Source organism: Homo sapiens, chromosome 13 (genome assembly GCF_000001405.40).
Source record: "Homo sapiens chromosome 13, GRCh38.p14 Primary Assembly".
NCBI lineage: Eukaryota > Metazoa > Chordata > Mammalia > Primates > Hominidae > Homo > Homo sapiens.
Genome location: NC_000013.11, coordinates 46,718,854 through 46,739,050, shown reverse-complemented (window position 1 = coordinate 46,739,050; position 20,197 = coordinate 46,718,854). Strand labels below are relative to the sequence as shown.

Sequence of the window (20,197 nt, the reverse complement as noted above, 5' to 3'; positions counted from 1 at the left end):
ATATGCTTACAAAGTATTTTTTAATCTAAAATATCATAATATAAGAATGTTCATGGTCATTCTGCAATATTTAAAGCCATAATTCAGCGATGAGGTATAATTTGGCAGGGAGAGGAGAGAGGTGGGGAAGGATTTCCAGTCTTCTCCAAATATATGACAACTAATTGCCAATTTTATGAACTTAGAGAAAGCTAGGAATAGCTTGGAAATTAGTTGCATTCTTTATAGCTAGAAAAGAGATAGATTGGCTGTTTTCAATAAATTATGAATTTTAAAATTGATGTTAGTAAAACAATGAACCTGTCTTTCACCCTTAGAATTAACCAATATAAATGGAAAATTAAAATAAATCTTGTAATAAGAATCTCATCCTTCCACAAAGTGTTAGTTATGATTTAAATTAACACTAAAGTCATTGACTTGGGGAAGAAAAATAGGTATAAGGCTCAGAGAAGATAAGGGACCCATTTCTCTTATTCTTAAGATTAAAACAAAAAAACAGTAGCTTCAATTTATAGATTGTCTTTCAAAAACAAAAACTTCAATCAGTGGTATGTGTAATTTCCTAAACCCTCACAAGAGGTGTAAAGTGGGAACGCTATTATGACTTTCATATATAAAACCTTTAACACAAAAAATGCGAATATGAAAATTACAAAAGATAAGGAAAACTCAGCCATAATTCCACTTACATTGACACAATCATCATTAGCATCTGAATGTACTTTAGGGTTTTATTTGTAACTCCCTTTGGCTGATGCAGAAGCTCAAGGATGCCAAGTGACCTGCCCTTTTGCATGTGGAATGAAAACTTTCTCCTTCCTCCAGCACTCTGAGCTGCCCAGATAGGCAGGAAGGAGCCCTAAGCTGAAAGGAGGCTACCACTGTCAGCTGAGTTGCTGCCTTTAATCTTCTTCTCTATCTTTTCTCTGGAAACAGTAAGGAAGATGAAGGACTGAACATTTAGACAACAGAGTACATTTCTATTCTAACTCCCCTCATCTAAAGAAGGCAAGTCTGTTAAACTAAGGATCTCATGCCTTACAGAAGTTTGAGATCAAAGTTACCTATTTAAAATTAAGTAGAAAAATTTCCCTGGTGAACCAAATAAATATCTATTTCCTAATTTTTTGATGCTTCATAAATTAGATTTCTCTCAACCTGAGAGAATACTAATAAGAGCCCTAAAATATCCCTAAATTTGGATCCATTTGAAAACCTCCAATAGTCAACCATGAACTGTACCTACCAGGAACATGTAGCCAATCTGCTACATAGAGGTTAGAGGTCAGGAATCTCCAAGAGCACTCAGAAAAGTCAAAGGAAGCCCCAATGTGTCCATTAAAAGCCTCATGGGGTCAAGGCCTAATTGGAGTCAGATTCTTAGGTGACGCAGAAAATATATCCCAAAGAATTTGGAAGCCCACTAAGGCCTGTCTTCAAGACCAAGTTGATGCTTGCACTAGAGGTCGAAGACAGCTACAAAGTCTGACCACTAAGCATCAACAGCACAAAGGGATGTGGGATGGTACCTAATGCTGCTTATAATTCTGAATGTAGCCAATGTGAAAATGCTGCATTTATGAATCAGCCACAACAGAACTACTGTCTTCTACACTACTGTAAAAAGTGGGCTTAAAATACCACCAAGGGTTGGGCACAGTGGCTCATGTCCGTAATCCCAACATTTTCGGAGGCAAAGGCAGGAGGGTGTCTTGAGCCTAGGAGTTCGAGACCAGCTTGAGTAACACAGTGAGACCCTGTCTTAAAAAATCATAACAAATTTTTTTAAATGTCGTGGAGGGATAGTCTCACCCACTAACCTTTACTATTTATTCAGTGAATTTAGGTAGTATACTGCCACAACCTGCACAGACATGTTTCCTGGATATTAGAGAAACCACACAGTGGTTCCAGCTGCAGAAGCAAAGAGAAGTGTGTCATGAACCATGACCCACCCTGGAGCAAATGCCTGGGACTGCGTTTATGGGGACTTCTAAAGAAAATCATTTATTATTATTTCCATCCCATTTTCTTACTTTACATGTAATAATTTAACTAAATCTGCTTAGCTACTGTATTCCATCTATATGAATGTGAAAAAATTATACAAACTGCTGACCCTGACTATGGTTTATAGTTTCAAACTGTGATTCTATTACATAGGACAAAAAATTTTAGGCTTAAGAACACAGCTGTGACTTTTCAATATCTACAGGATGATTTATCATTGTCAGTTAGATATTTAGCTTATAAAATGCAGAACTTAAGATCTCTGTGGCTTGTGTGTGTGTGTAGATAAGTTATAGATGGAGAAGTAGAAAAAGCTTGCAAATTAGAGGGAAGTAACTACACTGACTACTAGGAAATCAGTGAATATTTTATTACTCAAATATTAAGCTTGATGCAACAAGAAAAAGTAATGATATAGGTCCTCTTTTTTTAGGTCTTTAAAAATGTCTTTTAAAATGTCTAATTATAGATGGAGAATTTCTGCAAGAAGTCTTGTGATATAATTACCTTTTCAGTGTAAATCATCAATTGTACTGTGCCACACATACACTCAAGTCATCAACCCTCCTAGGTAGGGAAGGAAGTATAAATATCTAAGGTGGGGTGGGGAAGTCATCTGGTCCCTCAATTTAGTGTCATATTCCTAAGGTAAAAACATTTCCTGTACTCTGTGAGATGAAAACATGTTGTTTTGAGTATACAGGAAAATGCCAGTTGCCTTGCAATAGGAATTTCTGATTTGTCACTAAATATTCTTTACTTACTTTAACATTATCATTAAAGAAGTTCAACTGTTAACACACTTTTTGTCTAGTAGAAGTAAATTTAAACTCTAGTCACCAGTAAAATGCTATTGGATTATTCATTAGGATATATATGTGTACACACACACACACACACACACACACACACACACACAGAGCAAATTTGAAAATCACCTTGGCCAGGCACAGTGGCCCATGCCTATAATCCTAGCACTTTGGGAGGCTGAGGCAGGCGGATCACCTGAGGTCAGGAGTTCGCGACCAGCCTGGCCAACATGGTAAAACCCCGTGTCTACTAAAAATACAAAACTTAGCTGGGCGTGGTAGTGCACACCTGTAATCCCAGCTACCTGCGAGGCTGAGGCAAGAGAATCGCTTGAACCCGGGAAGTGGAGGTTGCAGTGAGCTGAGATCGTGCCACTGCACTCCAGTCTGGCCAGGTGACAGAGTGGGACTCCATCTCGAAAAAAAAAAAAAAAAGAAAAGAAAAAGAAAAAAAGGAAAATCACCTCAAGCCTTAAACATAATTCCAGAAATACGCTAAGTGATACTAAACATAGTTAAATGGGACACTGCCAGATAAAGATCATTCACTGCCTGTATTTGAACCTTCTCGGGAATTATAAATTGTACATTACTGCCAGGGGCATCTTGAGAAATTATGATAAATTTTGCTCTGGATTTTTATGGTAATTTAGTTTCCTTTTCTCCACTTTAAAAGGAAATCTTAATTACCAATCTTTACTCACAATAATTGGTTAAGGGCATTTCCATTTTATTTTATATCACTGTAAGCCAAAAACACATTGATGAGTTTTAAAAACCACAGGGAGTTAGGTCATAACCTAATGACCTAAAGCACTGATGAAGTGCTTTCTAGCACAGACACAAATAATTTATCATCTGAAGCTTGCCATGAGAGTTTTGATTCACACATGGGAAATCTTACTAGCCCATGACAGAATCAAATCATTAGAAAAGGTATGTAAGTGCGTTCACATATATATTCAAAGCCAAGAAATGTATATGCAATATTAAAATGTACACACACAATAGACAGATTATAACATTGCTGAAAGCAGAATAGATCACAAAGACAGTCCATCATATAAAATTTACACTCTTTAAAAAATAAATTTGTAAGCTTCCTTGTATTGATATAGCTCTGACTTAAAGATGTTTTAAATAATGCTCTCCTTTTCCTCAAATAAGATGAGAAGTCTACCGCTATCCCCCACCTCTGAATCCCACCAAGCTGAAAAAAGAGGGAAAGAAAGGAAGAAAGGAAAAAAAAGGAAGGAAGGATGGAGAGAGAAAAGGAAAGGGAAAAAAGTCTTTGTCAATCTCAGTAACTAATTCCTATCACTGAGTAGAATTATACTGAAATATAACTCTTCATATACTCAAAACAGTATCGCATGTATTTTTAAAATTACCTTATCCCTGGGGCATTAAGAAAGAAGAAATCATAAGAAATAAACTTCTATCAATTTCTGTTTATCACAGTGAGGATAAACTCCTCAATTTATATGGCTACTCCATATTCTGAGTGGATGGCCTCCTGTCTGCCTAAGAAATCAGTTTATGTTCCTAAAAGCAAAGTCTTTAAAAGCCCCCAGCCATCTGCCTGAGGCTGAGGCTGGGTCCGAGGTTGGAGAGAGAAAAAATAGCAAACTATATGTAATTGAATTGCCTATTGGGCTCAAAGCAAACTGAAGGCAAAAATGAAATGCAAATAGTTAACAAACTGTAAAGCAACACACAAACGCTGCTATTATTAATGATAACGATTAGTGATAACAATAACTATAGTATTTCCAATGTTGATTTTTTTATCCACATATGGAAAATACAGCTACAGAGAATGATAATCAATAATCAGCAGGTCTTTTCTTCAGAGCCTGGGATAAGAAAACCATCAGCTCCAAAATTCTACTCTATGAAGCCTAAGAGAAGATTCACTTACAGCCTCAGCAATTTCTGCTCTTGGAGAATCAAGCGGATTAAAATTTTTTTTCAAGTCTGAAATTTCACACTTACTTCAAAATCTTAAATTATTTCCCTTTTTCCTCAGAATTGAACATATTGCATAGTCATTTTACTTTCACTGCAATAGAGCAAGTTAAAGTTTATATAATTTATTCAATATTATTTCTCAAGAAAGGTTGAGACAAAAAAGCATGTACAAAGCTTTGCATCGATTCAATGGTTCAAACTCATATATTAAATAAAATTTTTACTAGAACACAGTTATATGAAGTAAGTTTGATGTTACCTCTGGTACTCCTAATTTTCGGCATGCTTCCAAAAAGTTTTCCACATTTCTTCTGCATTTGGCCATGCTAAGTTTGGGCTATAAATGCAAATATACGGAAATAATATATTATTTAAAAGAGAAACCATTTTAATAACATGTTAAATTTTAAACTTCCCAAATGGCACAAGCAATACATGTTTATTGGAGCAAAAGAAAATAACACATAAGCAAATAGAAGAAAACAAAATATCACTCAGAAACATCCATCTTAGATTAAAAACTGTTAATATTTTAGATTCTATTCTTCCAGACACTGTGTTCATATATGCCTACATAGATATACATATATGCCTATGTATATATATATAGATGTTTGTATATCATGTATATACACTGATGTATATGTATGCAAAATTTTCTGCATACATATGTATATATGTATACACACGTATGTTTATATTGTTTATATATATGCACACACACACGTATATATAGTTTTTACGGGATCATACTGTTGTGTAACCTGTTTTAGTTTGCCTAAAGTACACCATAAACATCAACTTCCCCATCAACAAATATATTCCTATATAAAGGGTCTAAATTCACCAGGCCAATTAACCTCCTTCCCACCAAAGCCAGGGATATAGAGGCAATATCATGGTAAACAGCACTGAAAATGGTGGATGTTCAGGACTTAACCAAAAGCTTCTCACAATTGAATTAACCTTGGTTATAGATGGCCTCTGAGGTGTGGGATGGGTAACAGGCACATTTCATATATAATATACTATACTTTTTTACATGGTACGTTTTGAACACTTTGCTGCTAAATTGTAATATTCCTCCACTATTTTCCTTAGGAAAGAAAGCAAGACGCATGACTGATTCCAATATTGTAGGTGGAGGAGCAACTGTGATAAAGACTGGCCTTATCCTGCTCATGTGAGAATGACGGAATTCATTCCGTCTTATAGAGGCACAAAGCAACTATCATCAAAATCTAATTTGTACAGCATTTATTAAATACAAAAAGAAAAGCCCTGCCAAAAACAGAGTCTGTTGCCCTGTGAAACAATTTAAGTTGAAAGCTAAATAAATATTCTCCATCTTGATTAGGGAGGAAGTCACGTCCCTCACGTGGGCCCTAAAGAGATGTCGCCAGCAGCTGCTTCGGTGGTTTTGCCCAACCCCTGGCATGTCTCAGGACAAGGCCACTGCATGAAGCCTTGTGCAAACAGAAGCAGACCTGAGGAACATGACTGAAGATAACAGAGGGTCATGGACCTGGCAGATGAGGTACCAAGAGGCATTTCATCACGCCAAGACCCTAGCGTTTCTCTCTGATCGTTTGGGCCCATTATCTTCCTTCATTTACTTATGATTTAGGTGAGTCTTTTCTGAAACTCCAAAGATGTCCTTAGGTGAGTCTCTTCTGAAACTCCAAAGACGCCCAACATCATTCCAAATACTTAGGTCAGCCCCAAAGAAGTTAATGGAGAGTGTGTTTCAAGCTACAGAAAAATAATTCTCCCTCTTTGGGAGTGAGGGAGGGCGTCTTCAAAGATTGTTGCCTAACTTCAGGTAGAAAAGTACTTGTGACAAACGCAATGGTTAAAGCTTCAACCTCACCACTGGTCCAATAATAAAACATTATACCAATTATACCAATTGAAATGCCAATGTTTTGCTTATCAAATTGTCAGAGGCTGAAAAAGTTCATTTTTCTAAGGAATAGTCTCTAAGGATACTGACAATGATAGTGATTTTGTTCACTACTATATTCCCTCAGTTTGGCAAAAACAAAATGGACAATATTAGTTTCATGAATGAAGAATTAGAATGCTTTTGCTGGTGATAATACTGGTAGAAAAGATGCTCTCATCCACTGCTGCTGGCAGATACAACTGCATTTATTGCTTTACTATGGGTCAGATACTAAACTTGATGCTAAAGATACAACTGTGGAGCCAAAGACAAAATCCCCAGGCTCACTTACCTCTAAAGCAGCTGGAAATATTAGCAACCTAAAGGAAGGTACAGTATAATACAGGATAGTTCTTAGTTGTCATGGGGTAGGTGTGACGGAAAATGAACAAAGGAAGAAACCCTGTCCTAAGGCGTTGAGAATGGTTTGTTTTCTGAATGCTGAAATAGAGAAGGAAAGGGAGCTAGTGACGCTGAAGAACCAAGGAGATTTGGGGGGCAGGTGGGGGCATGGCTTTCTAGGCAGAGGGAGCTGCCTGTGCTGAGCCTGGGGCAAAGAGCAACGGCAGAGAAGAAAGAAGGAAAGCAGGTTCTACGGCTACAGCGTGGCTGGGCCTGGTCCAAAAGGTCATCAAGATGCTTGGTGAAGAATTTTTGATAATTGGACATGTAGAAGTGGATATTTAGAAACAAACTGCATTTCTAAAAAGGAAAACTATAATATAATAAAACAGGCTAAAATATGTTATAGTCAGTAAATTAGGCATTTATGAAGAATTTTAGGCTGGGCGAGGTGGCTCACACCTGTAATCCTAGCACTTTGGGAGGCTGAGGCGGGCAGATTACTTGAGATCAGGAGTTCGAGACCAGCCTGGCCAACATGGTGAAACCCCGTCTCTAGTAAAAATACAAAAATTAGCCAGGCGTGGTGGTGGGCACCTGTAATCCCAGCTATTCAGGAGGCTGAGCCACGCTTGAACCCTGGGGGCAGAGGGTGCAGTAAGCCAAGATCGTGCCACTGCACTCCTGCCTGGGCGACAGAGGAGACTCCATCTCCAGAAAAAAAAGAGAATTTTAATGACATGGGGAAATATTTAGGTTTCAATAATACATTTAAAAAATTACTAGTCTATATGAGAAGCTCACAATTAAAAAACAACTTAATTTTACCAAAAAAAAAAAAAAAAAGCTTATAGTAAAGAAGACATAATGGTAAAAGCAACAGTGATTGGTTTTGGGTAGGAGGAGAATAAAGAATGATTTGTTTTCTTTTGCTTTCCTTTATTTTCTTTTTTTCACCAGTCACTCATTGTTTCCTATTATTTGTTTAATTTTAAAATTTTTATTTAAAAAAAGCAAAATGGTGAAAACCAAAAGATTTCTAAAACAATGTAGCATTTTTCCTGAAGATAAAGGTAAATGGGTACACAATTCATGATGTCCTCTTACGTCTTGTAAAATGATCATTGTACATTGAAATTGAAGGCTGAGGTGTCTGTTGTGTCTCTCTCATAATTTGGGAAAAATTACTGAGAATCTGGCACGAGACTCAGATGACTTTACGGCAGTTTGGACCTCATTTGTAAAAGATACTGGAGTGTTTCATATTGGATCATGGAACAGAATTTACTGTCCCACATTAAGGCTGCTAGAGGTAGATTTGTAAAAGAAGACAAATTGGTCTTTTTGTCCCCACTATGTTTCTGAGGCTAAAAAAGTGGTTGAACCTTTGAAAGAAAAATATGTTCAATATGATAGATAAGAAACTAAGATGAAATAAGGTCATTGGCTAATTTTTCCTGCTGTCAAGAGAAAAGAAAGTAGGACAAATCATGCCACTGTGAGGCTCTCCTGGGGATGGGAGAGGGCGGAGGAGCTTCACGTGAGCTTCAGTCCAACACACTGGGCTCTGAGATTTTATGAACATTGCACTTTTATGGGGCTCCAAATTTCCAAAACTTGCCATATAAACACTAATGATTATAATGGCTTACATATATGTGTAAATTACATGAAGTATCTTACTTCATACTTGCAAGAACATTTCCATTATAGAGAAGAGCAAATCAAGTTCAAGAGAGGATTGCCCAAAGTTGTATAGCTTTTAGAATTTTAATCCAAACCTTACATTCTTAACCCCTAAATTCTTCTGCCTCTCCTAACAAACAGCAAAAAGGGTGAGCAGTGATACTTTTTTCTCTATTTGTATAAATCCTGTGTAGGTTTCAAGGACAAGTTTATCTGTGATTCCTCCACTTTCATCTGAACAACCATAAAACTGACTCTTTGGCTCTCTTCTAGTTCACAACATGCTGTGATACCTAGGAAGAGAGCCCTGAGTGCAGGCTCTATCTCCTCTACAGCAGAGATGAGGATCTGGGGGCGCATTAAGGAGTCTCATTCATGTTCTCCTCCCCACTACGTCCCCAGCATCACCAATGAGTCCTTGAGTGCAGTGACTGATCAAGCAATTGTTGAAGTCATGACTGCTAACCAACCCCTTGACAGGTTATTCATAGTATTTTTCATAGAACTCACATCTTTTCAGGGCTATCCCTAAAATCCTCCATGATGAATAGAGGAAAAAGATTCAATTTAGAAGGGAAGTTACCAACCAAAAGCAGCTTTCTGAAAGACTTGTCACTGTTTAAATAACTCTTGGGAAAAAGAAATTTTTATGTTCCTATAGTCTTAAAGTTAGCACCTTGATCATCAGTCAATCAGTAATTTCTTTTTTCTTTTTCTTTTTTTTTTTTTTTTTTGAGACAGGGTCTCACTCTGTCTCCAGGCTGGAGTGCAGTGGCACAATCATGGCTCACTACAGCCTTGAACTCCTGGGCTCAAGCAATCCTCCCACCTCAGCTCCTGAGTTGCTGGGACCACAGGTGCGTGCCACCATAGCCAGCTAAATTTTGTATTTTTCATATTTTTGTATTGTGTAGTTTTCTATTTTAGAACCCCGTCTCTACAAAAAATACAACTCCTGAGCGCAAGTGATCCACCCACCTTGGCCTCCCAAAGTGCTGGGTTTACAGGTGTGAGCCACCGTGCCCGCCCAGTAAGTTATTTAAAGTGATCTGCTTGATATTGAAATAAAATTATGTTTCTGTCATTTATATATTTATTTTAAAATAGTCTCTCATTTTACCGGGAAAATGTTGCTTCATTCAAGGCCATTCTTTCATTCCTTTTCTGCCTTATAATGGTTTGGGGCCCAATGGAAAAGATTTGAGCAAGCTCCTACTGACACCATTGACATCCTAAACCAACAACAGTGCCCCCTAAAGGTCTGTTTTATGTCAGTTAGTTTCCCTTTGGTGTTACTTACAACCGCTGGTGATGGGACATGGATGCTTGCAACCGACCGTGGGCGGATGTGGTTGACCAGATGGCAGAGGACGACACCATCCATGAGGGCTGCCCCCAGGTCTTCGTGTAGACTGACCTTCAATCTCATCTCAATGCTCTGTTGGGGAAATCAGAAGGAAGCCAGTTAATATGAACACTGAGGTAACTGTGAGTAAAATACATTTATGGGTATTTATGAACTGAGGCACTAATTTCATCATAGGAAATAAGGATAACAATGCCTAGAAAACACTGACATTATTTAACTCTTTCCAAACAGTATCAAAATCTCTCTTTATAAAAACAAATTTAGGTGAGTGTAAAATTTTTATTTAATAGAATGAATGGAATAATGGAATCACTCTTTGAGCGTGATAAATAAAAACCAAATCTGACTGGTTCAGGCAGTCTGCATGGGGCAGAAGAGGGATTAAGAAATGCTTTTCTCTGGTCGGGCACAGTGGCTCACGCCTGTAATCCCAGCACTTTGGGAGGCCGAGGTGGGTGGCTCACCTGAGGTCAGGAGTTCAAGGCCAGCCTGGCCAACATGGTGAAACCCTGTCTCTACTAAAAATACAAAAATTTCCCAGGCACGGTGGCAGGTGCCTGTAATCCCAGCTACTTGGGAAGCTGAGGCAGGAGAATCACTTGAACCCAGGAGGCGGAGGTTGCAGTGAGATGAGGTAGTGCTACTGCACTCCAGCCTGGGTGACAGAAAAAGAAAAAAAAAGGAAATGCTTTCCTCTTAGGCCAGGAGTGGTGGCTCACACCTGTAACCCCAACACTTTGAGAGGCCGAGGTGGGGAGATGCCTGAGCTCAGGAGTTTGAGACCAGCCTGGGCAGCATGGTGAAACCCTGTCTCTACCAAAAATACAAAAAATTAGCTGGGCGTGGTGATGTGTACCTGCGGTCCCAGCTACTTGGGGGACTGAGGTGGGAGGATGTCTTGAACTCAGGAGATGGAGGTTGCAGTGGGTTGAGATCATGCCATTGCACTCCAACCTGGTTGACAGAGTGAGATCCCATCTCAAAAAAAAAAAAAGAAAGAAAGAAAGAAAGAAATGTTTTTCTCTTAGACTATTTTTAGCTGAGAAATCAATCTTTGTCCTTCTTTTAAAAATTAAACTTTTGATTTTTGAGATAATTCTAGATTCATATGCAATTGTAAGAACTAATACACAGAGGTTCCACGTACCCTTTGCCCAATTTCCTTCAATGGTAACAACTTTCAAAACAACCAGGATATTGACATTGACAAAGTCAAGATGCACAACATTCCCACCAGCACAAGGATCCCCCATGTTGACCTTTTATTGACACGCCCTCCCAGCTACTCAGGAGGCTGAGGCAGGAGAATCACTTGAACTCAGGAGGCAGAGGTTTCAGTGAGCCGAGATTGCGCCACTGCTCTCCAGCCTGGATGATAAAGCGAGACTCCGTCTCAAAAAAAGAAAAAAAATTATAGAGACATCCCCTTCCTTCCCACCCCCAAGTTCCTCTTCTGCCTTGCTCCCATTCTCCTTTCCTTCTGGGCCTCCCAAGACACGAATGTTGGATCATTTGTTACACTCCCACAGGTCCCGAGGCTCTGTGTCCACTGATTTTTCAATCTGTTTTCTCTCTGTTGTTCAGATTAGATGATTTCTATTGTTCTCTCTTCTAGTTTCATTCCAGTTCTTTCCTTTATCATCTCCATTCTGCTGTGGAGCCCATCCACTGGGCTTTTTGTTATGAATAACGTATTTTTCAGCTCCCAATTTCCATTTGGTTTTTCTTCGTGTCTTCTATTTCTTTGCCAAAATTTTCTAGTTCTCTGCTGGGGTATTCTTTTCCTTTCCTTCGACCATGTACATCGTTGTTCACCGAAGCATTTTCATCATGGCTGGTTTAAAAATATCTGTCAAATAATTCTAACATCTCTGCTATATCAGTGATGTCATCTGCAGATTGTCTTTTTTGCCTACAGTTTGGGATCTTCCTCGTCCTTGGAATGATGAAGGATTTGCAGTGGAAACCTGGACATTTTTGAATTATGTTATGAGACTCTGGATCCTATTTAAATCTCTGTTTTAGTTGCCTTTTTTTTTTTTTTTTTTTTTTTGACACTGCTCTAGCAGGGGAAGGTGGCTGCCACCATCTTGTTACCGCCAGGTGAATGCAGGCATCTGGGTTTTCTACTGGGTGTCAACTGGCCAGGGAGTGGGGGAGGGGTAGGTGCCTCCTTACTGCTGAGTGGGGGTGAGAATCCAGAATTCCCACGTGGTCTCCACTGAAACTCTGGGAGCAGACGAGCTTCCTTACTGACCAGTGGGGATGAAATTTCTGGCTCCTGGCTTGGTCTTCTCTGACACCACCCCAGCAAGGGGAGAAGTCTCACTTGACTCAGCCCTTGCTGGTGTGGGTGAGGGGGGACCACAGTGTTTCCTGTGGTGTTCAGCTGCAGTAGCACATTTATGGTCTAAAACTTTTGTGTCTTGCTGGGCTGTCCCTTTCCTGGTTATTTGGTTAGAGAAAGTCAGCTTTTATTGTTGTTTTTCTAAAGTCTGTGCCGATTACTGTTTCTGGGTTCCCAGCGACTTCGGCTCCAAGTCTGGATACATGAGGCAAAAAGAAAGTCCCCTGGAGCTCATCACTATGGCGCCCCTCAAGTCTCAAGGACCCTAATCAGTCCGTCTTCTTCTCTTTACCTTCCAGAATGTTCTTACATTTGTTTTATGTATGTCTAGGGATTTTAGGTGTACTTAGTGGGAAGAATAGGGCAAAGTATGCCTACTCCATCCTCTTGGAAGCAGAAGTAGAGAAATCGATTTTCAAACCTTAACTAGAGCTTCTGCAACAAAAGCCCCTTTTAACTGAATCACAGCGTATGAAAGGATGACTTAATTTGGTGATTTTAATAAATGAAAACTTGAAAAACACTGCATATAATAGTGTTATATAAATTTCTTTCAGAACTGTCCTGTGTGTGGACAATTGTTTTTAGGTACTCTTTCAGGCTCTAATTTTATATCACTAAATTAAGACATAAATGATCAATATGACCCATGTTTAAGATAAAATTGTAAGATATCACTCCTTGAGGGGCATAGCTCAGCTTCTGATCTTAGTTGCATAGATTTCATAAAGTTCACCTTCCCAGTTTACATCACATCCAGATAGTCCAGGCAAATGACAGAGGTTTGACTTTCCCTTTGTGTTTGCTCAATCACCACAGTGGCTTAAAGTGGTGGTAAGAGGTTTTTTTGTTTTCTTTTTAAAATTACTTCCTCCTGACTCTTTGCTAAACCATATAAAAAGTATCATCTGCTATAACAAAGAGGCTGACCTATCCTAATTTAATTTAATCTAAATTTTGTTTATAGGGCTCACTGCTCATTTGTAGAACTCATTGCTCTCTGAAACTGTGTATTTATTTGTTTCCGTCTTATTTACTATCTCTCCCCAATAGACTATAAGCTTCAGAACAGCAGAGACCTTTTTGTTCTCTCCTACATCCATTACCTAGAATACAGCCTGGTAGAGAGTGACAGTCAATACACATGTGCTGATGAAAGAAGATTTAACATCGAATCTATCTCCTCCAAGAACCTTTCTTTCTTTATTGAAAAAATTTATTTTAGATTCAGGGGTACATGTACAGGTTTGTTACATGGGTATGTTGTGTGATACTGAGGTTTAGGCTTCTAATGATCCTGTCACCTAAGCAGTGAACATAGTACCCAATAGGTAGTTTTTCAACCCTCACCCCCTATCTCTCCCCTTTTGGAATTCCCAGAGTTTATTGTTTCCATCTTTGTGTCCGTGTATACCCAGTGTTTCACTTTCCCTTATAAGTGAGAACGTGGTATTTGGTTTTCCATTTCTGTATTAATTTGCTTAGGATAGTGGCCTCCAGTAGCATCCATGTTGCTGCAAAGGACATGATTTCATTCTTTTTTATGGCTGTGTAGTATTCCATGGTGTTTATGTACCACATTTTCTTTATCCAATCCATTGTTGATGCGAGCCTGGGTTGATCCCAAGTCTTTGTTTCTGTGAATAGTGCTGTGATAGACATATGAGTGCAGGTTTCTTTTTGGTAGAACAATTTATTTTTCTCTGGGTATATACCCAGTAATGGGATTACAGGGTTGAATGGTTGTTCTGTTATTAGTCAAGAAGCTTTCTTAGACTCTTTTAGTTCACAGTTATGACACTTCTTTCTGAACATTAAAAACTCATGCAGCAATTCATAACGTGCTGTCTTTAGTAGCTAATACCAATGTTTTCTTCCTTGGTGATTGATTCCTATACTGTTAATTAACCTTCCATACATTTATGTATGATCTTCCTAACCTGACAAAAAGACCATGCAGGTAGACAAATACCTACAGAGTGCCCATTGGGAACTAAGAAATACGACAAGAAATAAGACAGCCATGGTCCCTGCCAGCTCCAAGTTTAAGCTTCAATGACACCCAGCACAAGACTTCCTCTTTGGTAGAAACTCAAATGGTTTGCCTATTAGATAATTGATTTAAAATCTCTGGTCGGTTTGGGGTACAAAGTGAGGATAACTATAAACATTGTTAAATTAATGTAATATTGCCAGGCACAGTGGCATGTAGTGATAATTTATGCCTACCTACTTGGGAGGCTGAGGCCAGAGGATCACTTCAGCCCAAAAGTTCAAGGCTGCAGTCAGCTATGATCATACCATTGCACTCTAGTCTGGGCAACAGAGAGAGTCTCTTAAAAATTAAAAATTCAGCTGGGTGCGGTGGCTCATACCTGTAATCCCAACGTTTTTCTAGTAAAAATACAAAAAATTAGCTGAGTGTGGTGGTGCACACCTGTAATCTCAATTACTCAGGAGGCTGAGGTGGGAGGATCACTTTAGCCCAGAAGGCACAGGCTGCAGTGAGCCGAGATCATGCGACTGCACTCCAGCCTGGGTGACAGAGTGAGACTTTGTCTCAAAAACACATAAATAAATAAAAATAAAAAATGAAAATTAATTTAATATTATTAAGTAAATAAATGACAGGGCATTAAACTATACCTGAATTGAAATTGAAATAGTGCCAGCATTTATATGTATATATTATTTTTTATTTACTACTATCTCATATATTCCTCACAAAACTCCACTAAGGTCAATTGGAACCATTTTTTTTTTTTAAAGAGACAAGTTCTCACTGTTGTCACCCAGGCTGAAGTGAAGTGGTACAATCATAAATCACTGCAGCCTCGCATTCCTGGGCTCAACTGATCCTCCCACCTCAGCCTCCCGAGTAGCTGGGATTACAGGCATACGCCACCACGCCCAGCTAATTTTTGTATTTTTAGTAGAGACAGGGCTCACCATGTTGGCCATACTGGTCTCAAACTCCTGGACTTAAGTGATCAGCCTGCCTCTACCTCCTAAAGTTCTGCGATTACAGGCATGAGAAACTATGCCTGGCCAAAACATTTTTTTAGTATACAAAGAAACAGACTCAGGGTTGTTAAGTGGCTTGCCCAACATCCAGCAGTCACTAAGTGACCTGGCTAGATTTGAAATTAGGACTGCTTGCAATGTTTCAAAGTCTGTTTCTCAAAAATGTAGAATGTTGCTTAAATTCTCCTTTAGTTACATAATATTTCTTGGGTACCTCACGAAGTTGTTCCACCAGCTCTTTCTCTTCTCTCATCTGCTCCATTTTCCTCCGGATTGTAAACTGCGGGTCTATAGATTCCAAATTTCTCTGAGGTCTTAGAAACACTACAATACAAAGGGGAAAAAAAGCCTTTATATAGTGCCTTGTCACATAGGGCTATTCATATTAAAATCAAACAGTATTTTAATTTGTCCAAAATAATTCATTTACCACTCAAAGAAACAAAGAAATTCCAAATCCACAAGAAAAGCCTGGCTCAAGTATTTTAAAAGAGACAATATTTTAAATTGTACTAGTTTGTGTGGACTAACAAGCTGTATTTTTCAGTGATAATAAACTGAACCCAGGGCAAGGTCTGGGTCACTGGGACCATTCCAAGCCACTTGCCTGACAGATGTCCTACTTCACTCATCTTCCCACTGTCTTCATTCTAAGTTTTTATTTACACTCAACCCTTTCATTAAATTCAGATAATTTATTTCAAATAAGGCTCTAGAATTGTTGTATGTATTAAAAATAAGCACAAGTTAATGTTTTTGTTGGCATAAAGTTTTTTGTAAGCCTGAGTTAAGAACTAAGTGATGATTACATATTTGAGGGTGTGGTGGAAACATTCTGCCTTCTAGACTGTCACTGGCAGACTATCTAAAAAGTTAGCCCTTTGGAGATGAGCAAGGACACCTTTTAGGAAGGCTGGCAAGATTGGAAGTAGCTGAAGGGCTCATGGCTGGCTTCAGGTTCTTGAAGTTACGACTTCCAAGAATAGTAACTAACAGCGGGGCATCCTCTGAAATGAGCTGAGAAAACACATGCCCTTCCCTATGAAGGAAAACACCTTTTAGACACCAATCAAGAAGGTAAATAATGTTCTATGCATCGGAGAATGACTACAGCAAGAGTTTTAATTAACTTTTTAATGATACAAAGCCCAGGGCAGACTTAAACTTGATTTTTTTTTTCTTCCTAGAGATTTTTATCCTTGCACATAAGATGGATGAAAGAGCTGTTCAGAGCCTTGGCTCCCCCATCCCACAGACTTTCAGATTGAGGTAGGGAGGGAAAGTCCCTCAGAAAATTTTGGGCAGAGAACTCCAATGTTAGAAATCCATACCACATAGAAGGCTGCATGGTGTACTGAAGTTACAGAAGTTTCAATCATGATGATTTAAACAATGCTGAATAAGAAAGAATGTGTAATTTTTATTCTACCCTGACATACATTTCCTATGGACCTCTTTAGAAGCTATTTCAATATTTCAGATTTCTAGAAATTAAATATGATTTACAAATAGAATACTTTGGATACAAAGACTTGAGTCCGCTCGGTGTAATCAAAAGTCCTGTGCTCGCCTAACTACAATATTTTAATTTCAATTTGTGCCTTTGAACATGCATTCTCCTTCTCACATCTCAGTATTTTCTTTCTAAATTAGTTCTAAGATTCTTGAATTCACATTCTGATGCTCTATGGAAGTTGAGAAAATTGACATATCTTAAATCGTCGACTTGAGAGTTAATGGAGAAAGAGGATGATTTAAGGTACGCAAGGCCTGTCGCCTTCTGGAATCTCAGAGAGGAGTCAGCTTGTGGCCTGGGGCCTCTGCTGGAAGCCACTGAGGGAAGTCACAGGCAAAGAACACCAAAGGCAGTCACAGGAGGGCTGTCACCAAGTCCCACAAAACCCAAACCTCACAGGACGTAGAACCAATTGTTTAAAAAGTAAAGCCAAGGTCAGTAAAAGGACAGAGTGACCAGGCAGGGAAAGATGAAAAGTTCACAGAGAAAAGGGAACTGAGGAAAACTCTGACAAATTAAGACGCATGGAAGAAACTGGAGAATGAATCACATTTTACACCATTTCAAGCAACACCAAAAAAGAGACATATATAAAAATATAAAATATAGAACTAATTTGCACCACCAAATTTACCAAAAAAAGGTCAAGAAATGCAGATAGAGTTGGATAATACACACATATGCCAGCAAGGGGCGCCTCAACACCGTTTAAACACATCGAATGTTTTCTTTGGAGCTGTTACTTTCCTTTGCCTTTTTTCTGGGGGTAATCTTATCTAATAATATTTTCAATATGTTTTTATTGGCAGATTTCAATCTGAATATGAAACTATCAGGAAGTTAAATGAACCATGAGCTTTTGTTCAACACCACATTGCCTTATTAGAGCCCTATGTGAGATATCAGGATAACGAAATGGTGTCTGGGTTTTACTTTCCTGGCATCATTTTTTAATTTTGCATTCCTTTGTATCTTAAAAATATAACATGCATGTGTGGGCATTTGCTCTATGAATGTTAGGCAACCAAAAGTGTTTTAAAAACCAATTGAACTGTATTTTTTAAAATGAACACTTAAAATTATCAGAAATACATAAAATGATCAGAAATAATGACTATATCACTATTAGTTTTCTGAATGTATTCATTACTATGACATATAAGAGAACTTAAGGCAATCTCTTTAGGCTCATAATAAATCTACCAAGTACAAAAGTGCTTGCTTATTTTGCTGGGTTTGTTACAACAGAATAACTTCACCGGGACCATTAAAGTACCTCTGATTAAATTACCTACAGTTTTTTCTTTTCTTTTAATTCCTATTTAAATAATAAATCCAGTGAACGGTCTGGGTCCAGGCTTCAGGAAATTGATCTACAAAAGAATTATTCTGCTTTTCCTTAATTTCATATCACTAAATTTCAAGAGCTCCCTTACTTAATCCAGAGGAATAAAATTTAACTTGAGGCCATGAGACAATATTAAGAAGCAGCCCCCACTGTGAGCATGTATTTTTCAAGTCAAATGCTCCTGTGACTGTTGAAGTGTACATAAGAAAAAAGATGGGTGAGAGAGCAGAGTGTGTGTTATGAGTGTGTTGAAAGAGGTGAAGAGGCGGTGATTGGTTTTGGGGGGCGGGTGGAGAGACACAGTCTCACTCTGTTGCCCAGGCTGGAGTGCAATGGTGCGATCTCGGCTCGCTGCAACCTCAACCACCTGGGCTCACGCGATTCTCCCATCTCAGCCTCCTGAGTAGCTGGGACCACAGGCCTGCACCACCATGCCTGGCTAAGTTTTATATTTTTAGTAGAGGTGGGGTTTCGCCATATTGCCCAGGCTGGTCTGGAACTTCTGGACTCAAGTGATCTACCTGCCTCAGACTCCCAAAGTGCTGGGATTACAGGCGTGAGCCACCGTGCCTGGCCAAGGTAGGCAATTTAAGATGAAGGAAAAAAAATAAGTTCTGCTTAAATTAAGCCTATAGTTTAATTACTGTATGTTGTATAAATAACATTTATTTTTATTTTGTTTTGAGATGGAGTCTCAGTCTGTCGCCCAGGCTGGAGTGCAGTGGCACGATCTCGGCTCACTGCAAACTCCGCCTCCCAGGTTCAAGAGATTCTCCTGCCTAAGCCCCCCAGATAGCTGGGATTACAGGTGCCTGCCACCACGCCTGGCTAAATTTTGTATTTTTAGTAGAGACAGGGTTTCACCATGTTGACCAGGCTGGTCTTGAACTCCTGACCTCAAGCGATCCACCTGCCTCAGCCTCCCAAAGTCCTGGGAATTCAGGCGTGAGCTACTGCACCCAGCATAAATAACATTTAAAGAATGAAAAAGATTTGCACATATACGCAATTTACTTAGCAGAAGAGATAAGCATGGACCCTGCAGGGTATAATGAAATGCTTACGTAGAATATCAAATTCATACTTGCAGATATAGGTCAAATTCCACTGATCTTTCCATCATTTTCTGCCTTTTCTTTCACTCTTTACCCCATCCTCATCTCTGAGCTGGGAGTAATCTCTGTCTTCTGTGAGCATACAAAATTCTTTTATCTGTGTCTCTCCCATGGCACTCACCACTTTCTATCTTACAGTAGAGTGATATTTCGCTCCATTATGGATCTGTAAATGTTTATGTCTGTTTCCAACTTGTACCCTCTATTCCTGCCCCACAAAGCAGTGAGTGGGGCAGAATGAGTTTGTTGAACGAGTAAATGAAACAAACGTTTCAAACACTCCCTCACTTAAAGCTCAGTCTGTTTGGAGAACGTCATTGCAAAGATTATTCTATTCTGATGATCAGTCGCCTGAGTTTTTCCTCTTATGAATAATCTCCTAAACTTAGTTTCTAGGTGTGAATGCATTAGACTCTGAAATAAATGTTATATGAAAGCAAAGAGATTTTGGCTGTCTCTTTCAGAGCTGCATCCATAGTAATGAGCATCATGTGTAGCACATAATAGGCACTCAGCAGATATTTAAGGATGTGTACAAGAAACCATTTATGTACTTGTTGTGAGAACATCTTTGAGTCAAGCAAAGAAAGAAAGCCCTTTGCTCTAAAAATTGCCCAAATGCACTTTCTCATTTAATTATTGCATGAAATGCATCTTCATATGAAAAATATTTATACCTAAATTTAACTGAATGAGAGGAGATTTCTTCTCT

The 20,197-nt window shown here is 38.8% G+C and overlaps 1 protein-coding gene across 4 annotated transcripts in view; it reads right to left on the bottom strand.

Moving 5' to 3' along the window:
- The window catches only part of LRCH1 (leucine rich repeats and calponin homology domain containing 1), a 199,872-nt gene that overhangs the window by 13,991 nt on the left and 165,684 nt on the right, over positions 1-20,197 (bottom strand). For all 4 annotated transcript variants that reach the window (XM_017020483.2, NM_001164213.2, NM_001164211.2 and 1 more), the window contains 3 exons: positions 15,721-15,830; positions 10,067-10,204; positions 5,053-5,130 (listed from right to left, as the gene is read on the bottom strand). In XM_017020483.2, the coding sequence (XP_016875972.1) occupies positions 5,053-5,130; positions 10,067-10,204; positions 15,721-15,830 (326 nt within the window). The remainder of the gene's footprint in view (positions 1-5,052; positions 5,131-10,066; positions 10,205-15,720; positions 15,831-20,197) is intronic.